General features: G+C 47.5%; 1 protein-coding gene across 1 annotated transcript in view, besides 3 other annotated features; it reads left to right on the top strand.

Annotated features, from left to right (window-relative positions):
• The window catches only part of MACROH2A2 (macroH2A.2 histone), a 59,437-nt gene that overhangs the window by 36,897 nt on the left and 2,265 nt on the right, over positions 1-20,275 (top strand). Inside the window, exons 3-8 of the mRNA NM_018649.3 lie at positions 318-424; positions 2,015-2,212; positions 3,993-4,103; positions 5,912-6,011; positions 10,466-10,555; positions 19,291-19,465. Of these exons, the coding sequence (NP_061119.1) occupies positions 318-424; positions 2,015-2,212; positions 3,993-4,103; positions 5,912-6,011; positions 10,466-10,555; positions 19,291-19,465 (781 nt within the window). The remainder of the gene's footprint in view (positions 1-317; positions 425-2,014; positions 2,213-3,992; positions 4,104-5,911; positions 6,012-10,465; positions 10,556-19,290; positions 19,466-20,275) is intronic.
• Positions 1,296-1,440: an enhancer, noted in NCBI's record as "145 bp enhancer 70 fragment used in the MPRA reporter construct; PK_construct_1725". NCBI's record gives its function as "activates an SV40 promoter by MPRA in HepG2 cells {active_cell/tissue: HepG2}" and the evidence as "EXISTENCE:reporter gene assay evidence [ECO:0000049][PMID:23512712]".
• Positions 1,361-1,374: a transcriptional cis regulatory region, noted in NCBI's record as "HNF4 motif; enhancer activity is reduced when this motif is scrambled". NCBI's record gives its function as "necessary for full MPRA enhancer 70 activity {active_cell/tissue: HepG2}" and the evidence as "EXISTENCE:site-directed mutagenesis evidence [ECO:0005528][PMID:23512712]".
• Positions 17,744-17,823: an enhancer, noted in NCBI's record as "active region_3495". NCBI's record gives its function as "activates an Ori minimal core promoter by ATAC-STARR-seq in GM12878 lymphoblastoid cells {active_cell/tissue: GM12878}" and the evidence as "EXISTENCE:reporter gene assay evidence [ECO:0000049][PMID:35858748]".

Here is a 20,275-nt window from a genome sequence, read left to right on the forward strand (position 1 = left end):
TTAAATTTTTTAATTTTTTTAAATTTTTTTTTTAGAGACAGGGTCTCACTCTGTTGCCCAGGCTGGGGTGCAGTGGCACAATCATAGCTCACTGCAGCCTTGAACTCCTGGCTGGGCTCAAGCGATCCTCCTGCCTCGGCCTCCTGAGTAGCTGGGACTAACTTGAGTTCTCTTACGCTTCCTGGATTTCTTTCCAGGCCGAGACATAGAAATCACAAATGAATGAATGTGATCAAACTTGAAGGCCATTTCTAAAGAAAAGCTTTAGCTCAGACCCCATTCTGTGATTGCCTGTTAATGCCTCCTTGTGATTTCAGCGGAAATTCTAGAATTGGCCGGCAATGCCGCGAGGGACAACAAGAAGGCCCGGATAGCCCCGAGACACATCTTGCTGGCAGTTGCCAATGACGAGGAGCTCAACCAGGTATGTCTGAAGCCTTGAGGGAAGCCGTAGAATGGGTTTGCCAAACATGCTAATGTGTGGGCCTGGCTGGCCATGAGTCACTCCTGCTACAGTTCCCAATTACATTTATACAAAAAAAACTCAGGCCATATAAAAGAACAAATTCTGCTAGCTCTTATCATTCAGATTCAAAATAAAATTGCCTCTGGCATAGATCTCATTATATATTCTAGGTCTTATCAGACCTTTCTTTTCTCTTTGAAGACAAGTTCTGTGTGTTGCTGAGGAAGGTGTGGCACAAATGTTATTCTCTTCACTTTCTTCACCCAAACTTAGTTGACAGTTTTTTCTGATGAAGGCAGAAGACTCTTTATATTTTAGAACTGACTGTTTATATTCTGAAACTGACTCCAAAGTCAAGCGAATACCCCCTTTTCACCTACAGTATATGTAAGGTGGTAGGTAAATAGTATAAGAATTTTTATTTCTGTTTCTTTTCATTTATCTTTATTTTCTAATCTCACTCTTCTCAAACTGTAGTGAAGAAGCCATTTTTATGGCCAATCCATCATGGACTGATAATTTCCAGAAATGTAATAAAAATCACTAGAAAAATTAAAAAGCAAACTACAAGCCATAATTTTTTGTTATCAGATTCAACAGATATACAATAACTGTCAGTTTGCTGTGAAAGTTTCTAGATGCTTGCTATACTTCTGTTGTCACTGACGGGTAACTACCAGTTCATGGGTGAGCCATGGTCGCAGACCATGCTTGGGGTAGTGTTGGTTTCGAATCTGCAGAATATATTAGTGGAGTAGTACGTGTCTGTTCTTTGCAGATAAATTAACTTATATTGATTGGGAGGAGCATGGCCAGACATACTTTACTGATGGAATGTATGTGCAAGCTTGTGGAGACCACTGGTTCATCATTAACTGGGTCTAGTCTTTGCAATGACCTTTGAACATCATTTTCTCAAGCTGCGCTCCCCACATGGGAAGCTTTTTATCCTGTGTTGTGTCTGGAATTCCAGAGCCCTGGGCAACATCCCTGGTTTCAACTTCTGTGTCCCTTCTATTTTGCTTTACTTCGTTTTGCTTTCTGTACAACATCACAGGATGCCTTGTTAACCTACGGAGAAATGCTCTACAACTGAAAGTGGGAAAAGCCAATTAAATGGTGTATTACGCAGTTTCTTTAGGAAAGCGGAGGCCACATTTAACAGTTAGAACCGTATTAAGTCCAGGCCAGGCACAGTGGCCCACGCCTGTAATCCCAGCACTTTGGGAGGCCAAGGCAGGTGGATCACCTGAGGTCAGCCGTTCGAGACCAGCCTGGCCAACGTGGTGAAACCCTGTCTCTACTAAAAATACAAAAATTAGCCGGGGTGGTGGCAGGTGCCTGTAATCCCAGCTGCTCAGGAGGCTGAGGTAAGAGAATTGCTTGAACCTGGAGGCGGAGGCTGCAGTGAGCCAAGATCGCGCCACTGCACTCCAGCCTGGGTGACAGAGTAAGATTCTGTATCAAAAAAAAAAAAAAAAAAGAACTGTATGAAATTGGGAACTAGCAGGCTGTTTGCTACATGAGCGCATGCATTTCTCTCTTCAGCTGCTAAAAGGAGTGACCATCGCCAGTGGAGGCGTCCTGCCCAGAATTCACCCCGAACTGCTGGCCAAAAAGCGAGGGACCAAAGGCAAGTCGGAAACGATCCTCTCCCCACCCCCAGAGAAAAGAGGCAGGAAGGCCACGTCAGGCAAGAAGGGGGGGAAGAAATCCAAGGCTGCCAAACCACGGACGTCCAAAAAGGTAGGCCGAGGCTGCGTGTCCTGGGCCAGGCACTCCCACTGCAATGGTCTGAATGTCTGTGTTCCCCCACAATTCATATGTTGAAACCTAACCCCAGAGGCATAGGATTACAAGGTGTGGGCTTTGAGAGATAACTAGATCATGAGGGCGAGTCCTCACGAATGGGAACAGTCCCCTTATAAAAGAGGCCTGAGGGAGGCAGAGGGACCCTTCTGCCATGTGAGGACACAGCTAGAAAGCGTCATCTACCAGGAAGTGAGCCCTTGCCAGACACAGAACCTGCCTGCGCCAAGGACTTCCTGCCTCCGGAACTATGAGAAACAAGTTTCTGGGCCAGGCACAGTGGCTCATGCCTGTAATCCCAACACTTTGGGAGGCCGAGGCAGGAGGATGGCTTGAGCCTAGGAGTTAGAGGCTGCAGTGAGCCATGATGGCACCACTGCACTCGAGCCTCGGTGACAGCGCAAGACCCTGTCTCTTAAACAAACAAAAAAAAAAGAAAGTGGTTTCTGTTGTTTGTGAGCCAGCCAGTCTATAGCATTTTGTTAGAGCAGCCCAGGCAGACACTAAGACGCTCACAGAACAGGAGGGAAGTTTAAAGATGAGACAATGACTTCGTAGCAGACACCTCTGAAGGACCGAGGACTCTTGCAGCTTGGTGCCGGAAGAAAATGACAAGAATGTACAGGTAAAAGAATAAAGGGCCTTTGAGGTTAGAGCTGAAATGGGTCTTCTCTAGGTTTCCAAACCCTAAGCAGGGATGGTTTTCAGATCCCTTTTACTACCCCCAGCAAAATCTGAAGTGAGCGATGATAGCCAGGAACCTGCATTTTATTTCTCTGCAGAGCTCTGTGTTGCCTTCCAAACAGCCTCTAGTCTCCTGCAGGCATTCCCTGAGTTCCGCCAGTGGAATTTCAGGTGTTTGGCATATACTTGATATACTAGGTGTTTGGGTTAGCTTGATATACTAGGTAGCTTAGCTCAGAGATGCCACTGATAGAATAATGTTTTCCTATGTTGCCCAGTACAGTAACCACTGGTCACATGTGGCTTTTTTTTTTTAAGAGACAGGGGTCTCACTCTGTCACCCAGGCTGGAGTACAGTAATGCAGTGGCGAGATCATAGCTCACTGTAGCCTCAAACTCCTGGGCTCAAGCGACCCTCCTGCCTCAGCCTCCCAAAGCATTGGAATTATAAGTGTGAGCTAAGGCACACAAGCCAAGGCTATTTGGATTTGAATTAAAACTAAATCAAATTTAAAATTCAGCTCCTTGATTGTACCAGCCACATTTCAAGCACTCAGCAACATTATTGAGGATCAAGATGAATATTTCCACGATCACAGAAAGTTCTATTGGACAACCCTACTGTAGAAGTTGTGGATGTTTCATTCCACACTGCCTCTGTGCCCCGAGAAATCCTGGGGAGAAAGAAGGCTAAGCAATGGGCTATCAACGGCCCCACCCAGCTCCGATGCTTGTCGTCGTGAGCTGCAGGCATTGAAATGAGCAAGGACAATGTGCTGGTGCACAGGGGTAGGTGAGGACTGCAGGTATGTGTGAGCCCTTTAACACACTTTCTATTTTGCTATTTTGCGGTACCCTTTTCTTTCCTTATATTGCTGACTTTTGCTCCCCTCCTTCAAGAAACAGCAGAACACATCACCTAACCACTTCCTTTCATATTCAACTTGGTGGCAGCCGTGAGAAGAGCTTAATAAAGGCACCTCAGGCTTTTTCTGGATTGGTTCTCATCTTGCCTTTTGATTTTTACCGACAGTCCAAACCAAAGGACAGCGATAAAGAAGGAACTTCAAATTCCACCTCTGAAGATGGGCCAGGGGATGGATTCACCATTCTGTCTTCTAAGAGCCTTGTTCTGGGACAGAAGGTAACAAAGAGAATTGCCTTGTGCTATATTAAAACACCACTGTATTTTTATAACCTACTGTTTACAAGCAATGATGCCTCCTTTCCTCCCCTGATAATGATTTTCACTGCAGTCTTGAATTATTCATTTTTAAACTAAAGAGCTGTGGCAGTGTCAGCATTGTGAGAGTGAGAATTGTTCTTTTTTGCTGAGAATTGTTAACGCTAACATTGGTCAGACAAGGGTGAGCATGGAAGCTCTTTCTGGTCAGTAGATAGGATGGCATTACTGGTTTTGCTGGGAATTCCCCACACCCCAGTTATTTCTACATCTGCCAAAAAAAAAATCCATAGCTAACTTTCTCAGACAGCTTCTGAGAGGCCCATCTTACATGGTTCAATGTAATTTATCAAAGAAAGAAAATAGAAATATATGTTTCCCAAATATCCTTGGTATTAGAAATGAATTATTTGCCAATAATTCAGTCTGCCTGCCTTCCTAGGCTTTAGAAAGTAAACAAACAGGGCTATGCATTTGAACAGTCTTCAGCAACACAACAGCAGCCCAACCAGACATGCAAATAATTCATTCCTACAAGTGTAAAGTTTACTGAGCAGACAATTTATCTACCAAGTCAACTGGGGCTGAAATAAGACACCCAAGGAAAGAGTCAGTTAATCATATCTCTGGTAGCTGAATGTTTCCATCTTGACAACACAGTAAGCCTCCATTCAAAGAATTGGGAAGAGTATGTTCTAAGAAGAGCATCGGTGTGGCTGGTTGCTAATTCGTCACTGATGAAAGCAGGGAAACAAAGAGGTGGAATTTATGTCCCCTCTCTGGCCTGTTCACTGTTACATGACGATTAGCTTTCTCTCACTTAGCTAAGGCAACATAAAGGTCTTGCTCACATGGGCCAACAATAGAGAATGCCCTCCATTCCACTCTACTGTGAACACATAGGATAGCAATTCCCAATGGTAGCCCCAAGACTGTGGTCTCCAAAGGGCAAGGGAGCCAGACACCCCCAGGTCAGAATCCCAGAGCCCATTACTTCTCTCCAGCAAGGTTATTGGCTTCAGAGCCCTGCCCCACAGATTTTGTGTTCTTCTAGGGAGAATGCAGGATGCTGAGGGGAGAAGAGAGAGCAAGCCCTGGGCTTCCTTGCAGGAGCTTCTCAGAAGATGCATCACTGAAAACTAAGGCCACCAGGGTTGGGAACCAAAGGCATGAGCTGTAAGGGAAAGAAAGAAAGGAGAGGGGGCCAGGCGCGGTGGCTCACGCCTGTAATCCCAGCACTTTGGGAGGCAGAGGCGGGTGGATCAAGAGGTCGGGAGATCAAGATCATCCTGGCTAACACGATGAAACTCCGTCTCTACTAAAAATACAAAAAATTAGCTGGGCATGGTGGCGGGCGCCTGTAGTCCCAGCTACTCAGGAGGCTGAGGCAGGAGAATGGCGTGAACCTGGGAGGCAGAGCTTGCAGTGAGCCGAGATCACGCCACTGCACTCCAGCCTGGGAGACAGAGTGAGACTCCGTCTCAAAAAAAAAAAAAAAAAGAGAGGGGAGGCCCTGTTCCTGTTCCAGGGAAGAAGAAATGGATTTGTTGCATGCTGCCAGCCCCAGAGTGGAAAGCAAATCCACTGAGCTCAAAGAGCTTATTGCAAGCCAAACACCTGGGAAACTGGAGGTTGTCACTCTCTATGCAGCCCCTATGTTGACATTGGGTATGAATAATTAAAGAGAATTAATGAATGCAAGTAAAATATGAGATTTTTCAACAGAATTTTATCTTTTCCACATTCACCACCTTTTCTTCCTAATGCAGCTGTCCTTAACCCAGAGTGACATCAGCCATATTGGCTCCATGAGAGTGGAGGGCATTGTCCACCCAACCACAGCCGAAATTGACCTCAAAGAAGATATAGGTAAGGTCCTGAGACTTCAGTAGAAGTGCCATAGAATAGGCCACTGTTCAGGCAAGTTCTTGTGAAGCTGATCATTGTCAACTGGCTGTCCCTCCGCTGGGGTCCCATGTCAAGCTCTGTCTTTATGTGTAGTTGAACAGTTTCACTAGAGAGAAGCTAACTTTGTTTTAATTCTGCATATATTTTTGAAATTTTTATTGGGGTATTGTGTAAAAGCAAATCATTAGCATAGAGCTTGATGAATTTTTCTCAAAGTGAACCCCACTTTGCAACCAGCACCAAGATCCTGAAGCAGACCCTTACCAGCACCCCAGAAGTCTCCCTCAGCCCCACTCCCAGTCAGTATTTCCTCCAAGGGTAACCACTGTCCTTTCTTATCAAAGCAGAGATGGGTTTCATCTGTCTTGAATTTTGTAAAAATGAAATCTTGTCCTCTTCTGGGTCCGACTCCTTTTGCTCAACTTAGTATTGTGAAATCTATCCATGTCGTTGAGTATGCTTGTATTCATTCATTTTCCTTGCTCTGTAGTATTACACTCTATAAATATATGACAGTTTATTGATCTATTCTACCACTGATGACATTTGGGGTAGTTTCCAGTTTGAGCTATAGTGAATAGTGCTACTATAAATATTGTTGTACATGTTTACATATATCGTAAGCTTAAATATTGAGAGTGCTATTGATAAAAGGGAAATGGACATCTAGAAAAAAATTAGATTGTCCATTAAGCTATGAGCATTGAGTTATTTTTGCCTGTGGTTTGCCACCTGTCCCACGAGTGGCAGAGGGAGCTGTTAATAGCCAGGGTGGAGGAGCTTGGGAGGGTAAGCTGTTATGGGCGCTGGAAATAACAGCATGCTAACAGTCCCCATCCCATCCATTTTTACCAAGCAGAACTGCCTTAAACTCTCCACGGAAAGGGTAAAGTGAGCAAAGAAGGGGCTTTGTCTCTAGGGTACAGGGCTTGCCTGTGAGGGAGGCAATTTGAGGTAGATGCTAGTAGTTCAGCCCTGGCTGGTAGCACCAGGGGCCCCAGGCAGCTGGACTCACTCAGGGCTTCCTCCTGGCATCAGAGGCCACTTGCTGTGCTGAAAAGGAGATAGGACAGCCCTGGGAAAAGTCAGCATTACAGAGAAACAGGTCTCCTTCCACTCTCCATGGAAGGACGCCCTCTAGTAGCCTTCATCTGGAGCTCTTTTAATAGGTGTCCTGCCTCTCACTGACACATTGCAGTGTTCATACTTTACACATTTCTATAGTAATGAAATTTTTATGTAAGAAAAATAATATGCTTCTTTTTTTTAATTGGCATGGTGGCAGAGTAGAAAGAGCACTGGTCTGGGAGCAAAAATTCACGCTCAGATCCCAGCAGTGGATTCTAAGGCCAACCGCTTCAGGGTCTTGGGAGGAGAAATGGGCTAAAGGCAGTCAGGTGGTTAAGAGGGCAGGTTCCAGGTCGGCCTGCCTGGACTGTCCCAGCTTTTCTGAATTGCTTCCTAGCTGACCTTTGGCAGGTTTCTAAACCTCCCTGAACCTCCGTTTCCTCCTCTGTAAGGGAGGATAGCAATAGTACCTGTCCCATAGGGGTGCTGTGATGGGGCTTAGCACAGTGCTGGGCTCCTAGGCAGTTAGTAATTGACAGTGGTTTTATTGCTGCTGTGTTAGGAGGAGTCCCTCCCATTACGATTCCATTTTCCACCACCATCACCCAAACTAATCATCCCAGCAGCCAAGGCCCTGTCTTACTCTTTTCAAAACATTATGTTATTATGGGAAAAGTCAAGCATACACAAAAAATAACAGAAAAGTATAATGAAACCCTATGCAATCAGATGCAATAATCACCACCCATGGCCACCTTTGTTTCAGCTCTTACCCCCTCCACATACTTCCAGACATCATTTTATCTATGAATATTTCACAATGACTTGTAACAGATAAGGGCTGTTTACTAACAACACAGCCACAATACCATTATTGTACCCTTAAAAAGATAGCAATATCAACAAATTACCAGTGTTCCAATTCCAGTTACATCATAAATGTCAAGTTTCTTAAACATTTGTTTAAGCCAGGCACAGTGGCACACTCCTGTAGTCCCAGCTACTTGGGAAGCTGAGGCAGGAGGATCGCTTGAGCCCAGGAGTTTGAGACCAGCCTGGACAATATAAGTGGGACCCTCATCTCTTATAAAAAAGGGGGGCCCGAGTACGGTGGCTCACACCTGTAATCCCAGCACTTTGGGAGGCTGAGGTGGGCGGACCACTTGAGCTCAGAAGTTCCAGACCAACCTGGGCACATGGCAAAACCCCATCTCTACAAAAAATACAAAAATTAGCCAGGCTTGGTGGCATATGCCTGTGCTCCCAGCTAAGGTGGGAGGCTGGGGTGGGAGGATCACTTAAGCCCAGGAGTTCTAGGCTGCAGTGAACTGTGATCATACCACTACACTCCAGCCTGGGCCACAGAGTGCACAGAGTGAGACCATGTCAAGAAATTAAGAAAGGAAAGAAAGAAAAAGAGAGAGAGAGAGGGAGGGAGGGAGGGAAAGAAAAAGAGAGAAAGAGAGAGGCAGAGGGAGAGAGAGAGAGAAAGGAAGGAAGGGAAGGTAGAGAAGGAAGGAGGGAGGGAAGGAGGGGGAGGGGGAGAGAGAAAGGAAGAAAGGAAAGAAAGAAAATTTGTTTATTTGATTTCGGATCCAAATCAGTCCACGCACTGCAGTTGGTTGATGAGTCTCTTATACCATAGGTTCCTCCTTCATCTCTTTCTTATTTCTTTGCAATTCATTTGTTGAGGAAGCTGGGCCATTTGTCCTATAGGGTTTCATGCAGTCCGGATTTTGTTGATTATATCCTCCTGGCATCATAAAACATGTTTCTTTGCTTTTTTATAACTTGGTGGTTGGATCTAGAGGTTTCATGAGGTGTAGGTTCGAAAACTTTGCCAAGACTCCTTGGTCAGTGGCGAGTGCTCGTGCCCGAGGAGGCGCGTCGTGCCTGGTTGTCTGTATTGGTGTGATGCTGGTGGCCATTGATGCCTCTTCTCTAGATTCCGCCATTCGTTAGGAGTTGCAAAGCTGTGGTATTCTCATTCTAGCATTGCTCCTTTCCTTCTTGGGAATGCTTCTGTAGAGAGAAACTACCTCTCTCCAGGATGCTTTTTTCTTAAAAGGCTTCAGTGAGGAGGGTGGATTCCCCTTGCCTTCTGCACATTCCCATTTGGCCCTTGACCTGAATGCAGAGGGCGCCAGTGTAGACCTAGTCCTCTGCTTCTCAACATGAACTGGCTACCAGCTTCAGTTACCCGGCCTTCTCCAGGCTTCTGGACCCAATAGATCAACAGTGTCCAGGAATCTGGGGGCCAGAAAGGAGTCTCAGGGGTACTGGGTATAATGCACAATCACCATTTCTCAGTTGCATCATGGAAACCCAAGAACATTAACAAAGAAAACCCCTCTGCACGCCCTCCCCCAGTGGACAGTGACCACTGGAATAGACACTTGTCCTAAACCAGCTGCACAGTGTACTGTGGCTGTCCACATATACTTGAGGCTCGAGTGTGGAGTGGGGAAGCATCAGCACCCAGGCCCTGGGAAAGACCATGAACTGAACCATAATAATAATGATGATTCATAAAGAGATTGCTGAGACTTGCTGCAGACATCCAGATCACCAAGTTCATTCGAAGATGAAAACATCTGAAAAATGCCTCCTCTGCTGCCCCAAAGCTGCCGTCATCCCAGTCTGGACAAAACACCCATGTCATCTCAGAGACATGAGAGCTGGATGCGCTGGTGCACACCGACAGGGTTCCTGTGGGGTCAGAGGTGGTGTCCTGTCATCTCCCAGGGGTTCCACTTGGCCTGTGTAGAAGTAAGAGCTGAGGTAGGAAAAAAAAGAAAGAGTGGGGCATTCCCCTAACATCAAAGGCTCAGGGCATCTCCCGGCAGGAAAGTCCTTAGAGATTAGCCTCTCTGCATTTCTCCATTGCAAACTGAGCACCGGGTTGGGGGAACAACATGCCAGGCTGCCCTGGGCCTCTGTCTGTCCTTTGACTCAAGCACGTACAGTACGTTGATGGCACTGTGATGGGACCAGGACTTCAGAGCTCTCCACATGAGTACTAAACCTGTGGGACACAACACTAGAATCACAGTTTTTTGTTGTTTTGTTTTTAAATCATCTACAAGACTCAAGCCATGAGACCGCTTTATGGCCAAATCACCCCTTAAAATATCCTTGGTAAAAGCTTGCCAATCTAAGTCTGCTAGACTGAGGCCCAGAGTCCCCTGCCTCCCCTGACCACTGGCAAACCAGGATAACAATTGGGAAGTTCAATTCCTAGTTTCTAACAGTGCTTTTGTTTTCTCCTGGCCTACTACAAATATGTCAAACAGTGTAATTAGATTGAAAGAACAACCACAGTGGCTTCCCATTGCTCTCCTTTGCAGGTAAAGCCTTGGAAAAGGCTGGGGGAAAAGAGTTCTTGGAAACGGTAAAGGAGCTTCGCAAATCCCAAGGCCCTTTGGAAGTCGCCGAAGGTAAGTGTGGAACTAGGCTCCTGTCACCAGCATGGCCTCACCCTCCTCTCTGGAGTCTCCAGCCTCACGTGCCTCATGCCTATTCAGCTTATGAGTCAAAGTATGCCATAACTAATCAGAAAGCTGTTTTAGCATCTCAGGTAATTTGGGCAGGCCCATAGAGATCCTTTCAGATGTCCTGGGGACTCCAATATGTTTGAATAATTCAAGTCAGTTTGCATCAGATCCCCCAAAATGGTCTAGAGCCATTGGGTGAACTTTGCATGTGTGTGATAAAATACACACACCATAGGACTTACCACTGGAACTATGTTTTGTTCTTTTTTTTTTTTTTTTTGAGAAAGAGTCTCACTCTGTCGCCCAGGCTGGAGTGTAGTGGCATGATCTCAGCTCACTGCAACCTCTGCCTCCCAAGTTCAAACGATTCTTGTGCCTTAGCCTCCCGAGTTGCTGGAATTACAGGCGCATGCCACCATGCCTGGCTAGTGTTTGTATTTTTAGTAGAGATGGGGTTTTGCCATGTTGGCCAGGCTGGTCTCAAAGTCCTAACCTCAAGTGATCCACCCGCCTTGGCCTCCCAAAGTGCTGGGATTACAGACATGAGCCACCACACCCGGCCACTGGAACTATTTTAAAGCGTATAATTCAGTGGCATTAAGTACTTTTACAGTGTCGTGCAGCCATCACCACCACCTAGTCCAGAGCTTTGATATCACCTCACACAGAAACCCTGTTGGGTTGATCGGACTCAACACCAGGTCATGGGGGTGACAAAGTCCAGCGGAGTCAAAGGAATGAGAAAAGATAGTTTGAGAGAGAAAGTGGGTCCAGGGGGCTGTCACTAATGTGTGGCGGTTGTGAAGGCCCCGAGCTCTGGAAGCCCAGGCTATTTATTGGTGATCAAACAAAGAAACAGGTGATGAGGATGTGGGGGTCGAAAGGGCAAGCGCATGATCTACAGCTGTGACAGTTTAGCATTTCCTTTGAAGCATTTGGAACATATTCTGCTACTTGAGATAATGGAGAGCAGGTTCTTTTAACTCAAGATACAATCGATCCTGGGAGAGCAAGGAGCAAGAAGCCAGCAAGTCTAGACACATTCAGAGCCACGAGCCCTGGATTCTATCCAAGCCACGAGGGGTTTTATGCCCTGGGCTTAGATTATGGTGTGTCAGGGTGGCCTTCCACCCTTTGGCACAGAGCTTGGTGTTCCAAAGGCCACAAGGCGTTTTCGAATCTGGACCCCGGACATGTTCCAAGACTCTTTTACATTACGTCAGACATGCAAGCCCTGCCTCAGCTTCTCTCAACACTTAGCTTTTCCCCCAACAAACCCCCTAACCATTAAGCAGTCATGCCCAGTGCCCCCCTCAGGCCCTGGCAAGCACTAATCTACTTTCTGTCTCTACGGATTTGCCTATTCTGGACATTTCATATAAATGGGATCATGCAATATATGACTTTTCTGTCTGGCTTCTCTCACTTAACATTTTTTTCAAAGTTCATCCATACTGTAGCATGGGTCAGTACTTATTCCTTTTCATGGCTGAATAATATTCCATTTTGTTTAACCGTTCATTTACTGATGGACATTTGGGCTGTTTCCGCCTTTGGTGATTGTGAATAGAGCTGCAGTGAACATCTGTGCACAAGTTTTTTTTAAACATCTCTTGTCCAGGATATTGGGCAACTTTTTGACAGGTGGATTCAACCTCAGATCCATGTTCCCACCCACATGACTCCCAATCAGTTCACTCCTTGTACCCTCAGTCAGTGCCAAGTGCCGCAGGGCTTCAGAGGAAAATAAAACCCACCGCTGCCCTCAGATGCATAATTGGGGCACAGAGCAGGAGCCACGACCTCAGCGTAGGGGAGCGTGGGAGGACTGCAGTGAGGCTGTGAGACCCCTTGGGGGTGGGACACAGAGGGCAATAGGAGCACTGCATGCAAGAAGACGCTTGTCTTGCATGAGCAGGGAGTCTTGGGTCAGCACGTGGGAGGAGAGAAACAGCAGCCAAGATGAGTCTGGGCCTGTGGGCTGTGCGAAGGGGTCTGGATCTGACCCTACATGGACATGAGGGCACTTGGAAGTTTAAGCAGGGGGCTGTCCAGATTAGACTTGATTGTTATAAAAGTAGGGCCCAGGTACTGTGGCTCATGCGTGTAATCCCAGCACTTTGGGAGGCTGAGGCAGGCGGATCACGAGGACAGGAGTTCAAGACCGGTTTGACCAACATGGTGAAACCCCGTCTCTACTAAAAATACAAAAATTAGCCAGGCATGGTGGCGCATGCCTGTAATCCCAAGCTACTCAGAGGCTGAAGCAGGAGAATCACTTGAACCTGGGAAGTGGAGGTTGCAGTGAGCCAAGATCGTGCCACTGCACTCCAGCCTGGGCAACAGAGAAAGATTCTGTCTCAAAAAAAAAAGAAAAAAGAAGAAAAGAAAAAAGTAATGGGGGCTTCTAGTCCAGAAAGAACAAGAGCCCACACTTTAAATCTCCACCCACTACTCCCCACAGGCAAAGCAGTAATAGATGCAGTGTCTCTTTAAAAACCCTAAGAGCCACACTCAAATATAAGATAAGCCTCCATGTAGACAGAGACAGGAGGGCTGCAGCAGCACCTGCAGGATGCTGCCGCCCCAGGCCTCGGCTCCAGGTCTATAAGATGCAGAGTCGCTTCACTTTGTATCAGAGTATAAAGAGGGCCAGAGCCAGACTCACTGCCCAAAGCAAGGGGCTGCATGAGACTCTCGCGGCCTTTACAAGAAGCCAAAGCTCTCGCCACCACCCAGGGCTACAACTTCTATAAAAATCTGTCTTTCTAGGGTAGCAGAAGGGAGAAGAGAGCCCCTCACCCAAGCCCAGGGCCACATTGCCCACCGACTCAATGTTTGGCTCTACCACATCCCCGATATAACCATGAGACCAAGCCCCAACTCAGTCATCTAAGACGGCATCAGGACTGGGGGCCTGGGTGTGGGGAAGGTTCCCCAGAAACTGCCTGATAGGGTGCAAAGGAGAGGAAAAATAGCTGCTCTGCACAGAATGAGAAGCTCCAACACACTTCTTTTTTAAATTATTTTTTAAATAGAGATGGGTTCTTGCTGTGTTGCCCAGGCTGATCTTGAACTGCTGGGCTTAAGTGATCCTCCTGCCTCAGCCTCCCAAAATGCTAGGATTACAGGTGGGAGCCACCGTGCCCAGCACCAACACACTTCTAAACAGAGTTCCAAAGGCAGAAATAGAAAGTAGAAAAGCATTATTTAAGGAGATCGTAGCTGAGAATTTTCTAGGATGAAGCATGAGCCCTTAAGCTGAAAATATCAAGCAAAATACATGAAAATAAATCCAAAACCTGGAGTGTTGTGGTAAAGCCTTAGAAATTGAAAAATCAAAAGAAACCTTCAAAGTAACCCGAGAGGAGAGGCAGATCATTTGTAAAGAAATGATGGCTCTTCTACTGACAGCAGACTTCTCATCAGCAAAAAAAAAGATGTGTGGAAACAGGAAAGAAATACCTTCAAAGCACTGAAGGGAAAAAAAAAACTGTCAACCAAGAATTCCACATTTTGCTACGTTGTCATTCAAGAATGAGGACAAAAGATGTACAATTTCAGACGTGCAGAAGTTGAGAGGCAGCAATCCAGACACTAGCTGGAAAGAATACAAAAGTCTGCACCAAGGAAATAGACATGAACCTGGAAGGAAGGAGAGGGCTACAGGACACAATTTTGAGCTAAGACATTGGTGCAAATATGTTAGGTGTAAGAAGCCATGGCCTGGGGCCAGTGAGTGTTAGCACCCTGGGAAAAATGGAGAAGGGGAGATGGTTCGCCACTGTCTAACACCACACTGCATTTCATTTAAAAACACCATCAGTTGTTAAGATATACTCTTATTGTATGTAACATTAAGAAAAAATAAATTTCCAAAATAAAGTGTCTAATAGGAGGCCCCACATAAAGCTGGGGCACATTAGTATAACAGCAAGCAAGACATGAACCCACCACGCAGAAAGGAGGAGCAAATATCTTGACCTTGGCATCCAGTGGACAGAGAGGAAAAAAAAAAAAAAAGCCTCACTAAAGAATTTGGCCAGGCATGGTGGCTCACGCCTGTAATCGAAGCACTTTGAGAGGCAGAGGCGGGTGGCTCACCTGAGGTCGGGAGTTTGAGACCAGCCTGACCAACATGGAGAAACCCTGTCTAGTAAAAATACAAAAATTAGCTGGGCGTGGTGGTGGGTGCCTGTAATCCCAGCTACTTGGGAGGCTGAGGCAGGAGAATCACTTGAACCCAGAAGGCAGAGGTTGCAGTGAGCCGAGATCACGCTATTGCACTCCAGCCTGGGTGGCAAGAGTGAAACTCTGTGTCTAAAAAACAGAAAAAGAATTTGAACCGCAAGCCAGTGCTCCTGAAGATTTGCAGCCAGATCCAGTGCAGCTCAAAACCTGAGGCAGAGAAGAGAGTGAGACATAGCCTTAGTTTGGTAGTGTCCCCAGGTGACATAGAAGGAAATGTAATTTCTTTCTGGAAGAACTCAGCTCCAGGCTGACAGCAGTTCTAAGATGCTTCCTGATTTCAACAATATTAAAATATTTAAACAAAAAAAAAGTGCATCTTAACATGGTTAAAACAGACCAACTGCAGTGCAGGCCCACCCTGTGGCAGGGGGTCGGGGAGGGTGGATCAAGAAAATATTTCAGGTGCAGAGTCAGTGAGAGGCAGCGATGCTGCATGTTCAGGGAGGCAGAAGCTGGAGCTAAGGTAAGTCCAGGGTTTCCAGGGCTGAGCAAACTGATGAAAAGTCAGGACTTTCATTCATTTGTTGAATATTGGAGCACCTGCCTGCCAGTGACTGTGGCAGGAGCCAGGCAGCAGCAAGGAATACAAAAGTGCTTCAGTGAAGATGTCAGCTGGGGCAGAACCAGTTCACGTTAAGCATCTACGGTGTGTGCTGTCGGGCGCAGGCATCAGGATGTGGATGTGATTGTAGGCCCTGAACACTCCTGAATTTTACAACCAGGCGGGGACCCCAGGGTAACACAGTACATCACTTAGCACAGCTGGCTGCTGAATTGCATGGCAGAGGCCCGGAGAGAATGGGCGAGGGAGTCAGGGACAAAGGAGGATAGCCAAGTGTGGAGACAGAGGTGCAGCCAGACCCATGTGTGCAGGGGACTGAGCCCACTGGCTGGAGGACGACTGGGCATCCAGAAAGAGCAAGAAATGGATAGACTCCAAGGGGAGAGGGGCCGACCATGAAGGGAGCCTGGGAGGACTGCAGTAAGGCCAGGGGGCAATCAGGAGCAGTTGCAGATTCTGAGTTTAAATGTGGAGTTTAAGGACCTTGGCTCCAGCAACCGTGTGGAGGATGGTTTGGCAGACAGAGGGCTGGGGCCCGAAGACCATCAAGAAAGCTGTATTGGATGAGGGTGGGGGTGGAGTGGGGGTGAAAATGAAGCACATGGGCCTGAAATGAGACAAGGCAGAGGAAACTGATGGTGTCTGCAGTGACAAAGAGGGAAAAAGGGGAATCGGGTTTCAGGAGTGAATGGCCATTTTACTGGGCACGTGTTAGCCCTGGGGCCCCAGAAAGGTCATGAGGTGCAGGTCCCTGTTGAAAGCTAAGGAGGAAAATGGCTTGCAGATGGCTGCTTAGGAGGTGGGGCTGCAGCAGAGAGAAGAGCACTGGGCCCAGACACGCAGGAAGAAGAGAGGCCATTGTGGGAAACTGAGGTGCTGTTAAAAGAAAACCCACAGTGTCACGGAAACCAGGCATCAGCAGTAGCAGCCTCTCAGCAGGACAAGGGGCCAACCTAGAGTCCCCTTTTGCTGTGGTGACTCCCAAGAACTGTGATGGCTCACCTGGGGGAAGGTTCTAGAAGCTCCCAGCAGCAGCACTGCCACCCTCAGAATGCAGGTCTTCACCAGGCAACATCACATTAGGTAAGAGAATGCCCCTAGTCATTATGTGGATAGGTGCTTATACCAAATACCAGGGTCACAGCCCTTGCAATAACTTGACCCTCATCCTTGACAACTCTGGAGAACATTACAAAGCATTATGGCTACAAGCTGTGTTATTCATTTCCAGTTGCCATGAACATACTTTGTTTTGGACTGAAATGTCATCGTGCACTACCCTGAAAGTCATTTTTTACTTGATTGGATGTTTGACATTGCCAATAGGAACATATTCCTTTTATTTAAAAATGACTTTTGGCTGGGTGCAGTATAATCCTAGCACTTTGGGAGGCCGAGGTGGGTGGATCACTTGAGGTCAGGAGTTCAAGACCAACCTGGCCAACATGGTGAAACCCCATCTCTACTAAAAATACAAAAAATTAGCCGGGCATGGTGGCGGGTGCCTGTAATCCCAGCCACTTGGGAAGCTGAGGCAGGAGAATCGAATCGCTTGAACCCGAGAGGCAGAGGTTGCAGTGAGCTGTGATCGAGCCACTGCACTCCAGCCTGGGCAACAGAGGGGCATCCTGTCTCAAAAAAAAAAAAAAAAAAAAGACTTTACATTAGAGGAATACCATTCTGCTAGTAACATGATTATACTTTTAAAATATATGAAATAAATCAGCCATGACTGTAACAAGCCAAACTCTGTCCGGCATACAATAGCAGCCAGGTGCTCGGGAAGATGGCACCATGCAGGCAAGGCCCATCTCCAGGGTCCTTGGTTCTCAGCAGAGCAGCCTCCAGTTTTAGGGGCATCATTGTTCAGTCCAAAGAGGGACACTCTGCTTCTGGTGCACAAATATACGTGGTCGTAGAGTCAGCACGCATGGCGGGCCCCTACCCAGGGCCTCGGTGTATTGTGTGGCCTGGGTCCTGCACTCAGGCGTTCACGTGTGATGACACTGAGCCCCGTCTAGGCACTGGAAGGCAGGGAGCCTACAGCCTCCCCTGATGGACGAAGGGGTCCCTTGGATTTGGCTTCTACCCATGTGAGGAAGTGCAGTCAGCACTTCCCTGACACTGTGGACATTGCCAGGAAATACTTATATAAACTAGGTGGGCATCATAGATTTCCAGTCAGTCTTTCACCTCAACCCCACACACAGCTCTGGAATACGGCGGACACACGTTTCTGTTACAAGTGCTGCCCCTAGTGGCCACGGACCCTTGCTACGCCGATTCCTGGGTTCCTGGAGGGGCACAGGGCGCAGACGGGCAGCGTGGGGGCAAGCATGGCTCATGGCTGAAGCTGCAGCTGCCTCAGGCAGATCCGAGGGAACTGCTCCCCTGGGGAGTCCCACAGGGACTTCCCTCGAGCTTAGCAGCCACGGGGCTTTATCAACTCTGTCACCAATGGGAACCACATTTAGGGGAGTAAACAGTAAAACAAAGGAGTATGACAGAAATTGTGAGACAAGGCTGGCCTAATTCAGTTTCACAGCCCGCTTTTGAAACCCCACTCTCTGCAGGGCATGTGGAGATCATCAAATGGCAGTCCCTGTCAAGGAACTACACAATCAAGTTCAGTGGTTCTCAACTCATAGAAGGTCCTAAAATCACATAAGCATAAGCCCCTGCACCAGACCTACTGAGTCAGGACCTCTGGGTGGTCAGTACCCTGACTCTGTGGGGCCCAGGCACAGCTATTTTTTAAAAGCCACAGTAGGCCAGGTGTGATGGCTCACGCCTGTAATCCCAGCACTTTGGGTGCCTGAGGCAAGAGGATCACTTGAGCCCTGGAGTTCAAGACCAGTCTGGGCAACATAGCAAAACCTCATCTCTATAAAAAAATTTTAAAAATTAGCACATGCCTGTAATCCCAGCTACTCGAGAGGCTGAGGCACTAGAATCACTTGAACCCAGGAGGTGGAGGTTGCAGCGAGCTGAGATCGCACCACTGCACTCCAGCCTGGGCGACAGAAAAAGACTCTGTCTCAAAAAAAAACTAAAAATAAAAAAATAAAAATAAAAGCCACTGTATTCATTTCCTGTGGCTACTGTAACAAATTACCACAAAGTTCGTGGCTTCAGACAACACAAATTTGTCTTCTTACAGTTCTGGAGGCCAGAAGTCCACAATGAGTTTTAAGAGTCTAAGATCCAGGTGTTGGCAGGGCTGGTTCCTTCTGGAGGCTCAGGGAAGGATCCCTTCCTTGCCTTTTCCAGCTTCTAAGCTGCAACATTCCTTGGCTCCTGGCTGCATCGTTCCAATCTCTGTCTCCTTCATCCCACGGCCTTCTCCTGCCTTTGACCTTCTTGCCTCCCTCTTATCAGGTCCCAGGCTCACCCAGACAGTCCAGGATCATCTCCCCATCTCAAGAGCCTTCACTTAATCACATCTGCAAAGTCCTTTTTGCCATGTACGGGAACACCCACAGGTTTCAGGGAGGAGGACGTGGATGTTTTGGGATGCCATTACTTTACCTGCCACAGCCACCAGAGAGGATCTGATGTGTCCCTTTAACTAGGAACCATTGTGAGGAGGTAGCCCAACCCAGGGACTACTTGGCAGACCATATGAAAATGGCGCATCAGAGCAGCATTAAACGCTTCTACCCAAAGCTTGTGCTAACTGTGCAAAGCAATACAGCCCAGCTCTTGCTCTCGTTAAACATAGTCCACATCAGGAGCACAGGATGCTGCCCAGCCAACGTCTCTATCACTGCCTTATCTCCAGATCTAACAGGTACCTGATGAGGTTAGGCTATAACCTAGGAAACCTTAGGAAATAACCCGCGGCATTTTCTCTCCTATGTCCCAGCCGCCGTCAGCCAATCCAGTGGACTCGCAGCCAAATTTGTCATCCACTGTCACATCCCTCAGTGGGGCTCCGACAAATGTGAAGAACAGCTTGAAGAGACCATCAAAAACTGCCTGTCAGCGGCGGAGGACAAGAAGCTAAAGTCCGTCGCGTTCCCGCCTTTCCCCAGCGGCAGGTAAGATGCAGTTCCCCTGAGTTGATTCCTCCGGCTTTTTCCCTGGAAATCAGCTGCTCCCCCACTTACATCTGATCTGGGTGTTGCCAAGGGCTGCCAGCACAGCCAAGTATGCTGACCAGATGACAGGGCAGGAAACCCGGTTTTCATCCTTCAGAAACCATGGGGAAGCGAGCCCACTGGCTCCTAGGCAGCAGGTCTTCCCCGGCTGGGGCCAGCCCCAGTGCCTCCTTGATGTTAAAGCCCCAGGAGGAAGGCTAGCCCAGGGGAGGAGCGGGAGGCAGAGGCCAGCTGGTGTGTTATTTTTTGAGAGCCTTCCAGGTTCAAAGTCCATATTCCCACCAGCTGTCCATGTCCAGGACACATGATCAGAAAACGCCAGGCTCGAAGGCCTTGCTACTCAAAGTGTGGTCCATAGGCAGCAGTGACCGATGTCAGAATGCAGAATCTCAGGCCCCCCATCTCCGACCTCTGGCTCCAGAATCCCCAGAGAATTCCGTTGCTGCTCTGGGAGACTGCAGAGCCAGGAGTTCGAGGCTTTGATGAATACACCCAGAGAAGTGAAAATCTGTCCCCGAGTGATTGCTGAAAAGGAGACTGGGCAATGACTGGATTGTCACAGATCCCAGCTGGGCATTGTTTCAGATACATAATGAGGATATCTGCTGTCACATAAAACATATCCTTTCCCTTCATGCCCCTAGCCAATCTATTGCTTTAATTTTGAACACCCTCTCACCTTGAGAGCTGTCCTTTATAATATAGCTATGGTTTATAGCTGTGTCCTGGGAAGCCCAAGAGGAAAATAAT

This window comes from Homo sapiens, chromosome 10 (genome assembly GCF_000001405.40).
Source record: "Homo sapiens chromosome 10, GRCh38.p14 Primary Assembly".
Lineage (NCBI taxonomy): Eukaryota > Metazoa > Chordata > Mammalia > Primates > Hominidae > Homo > Homo sapiens.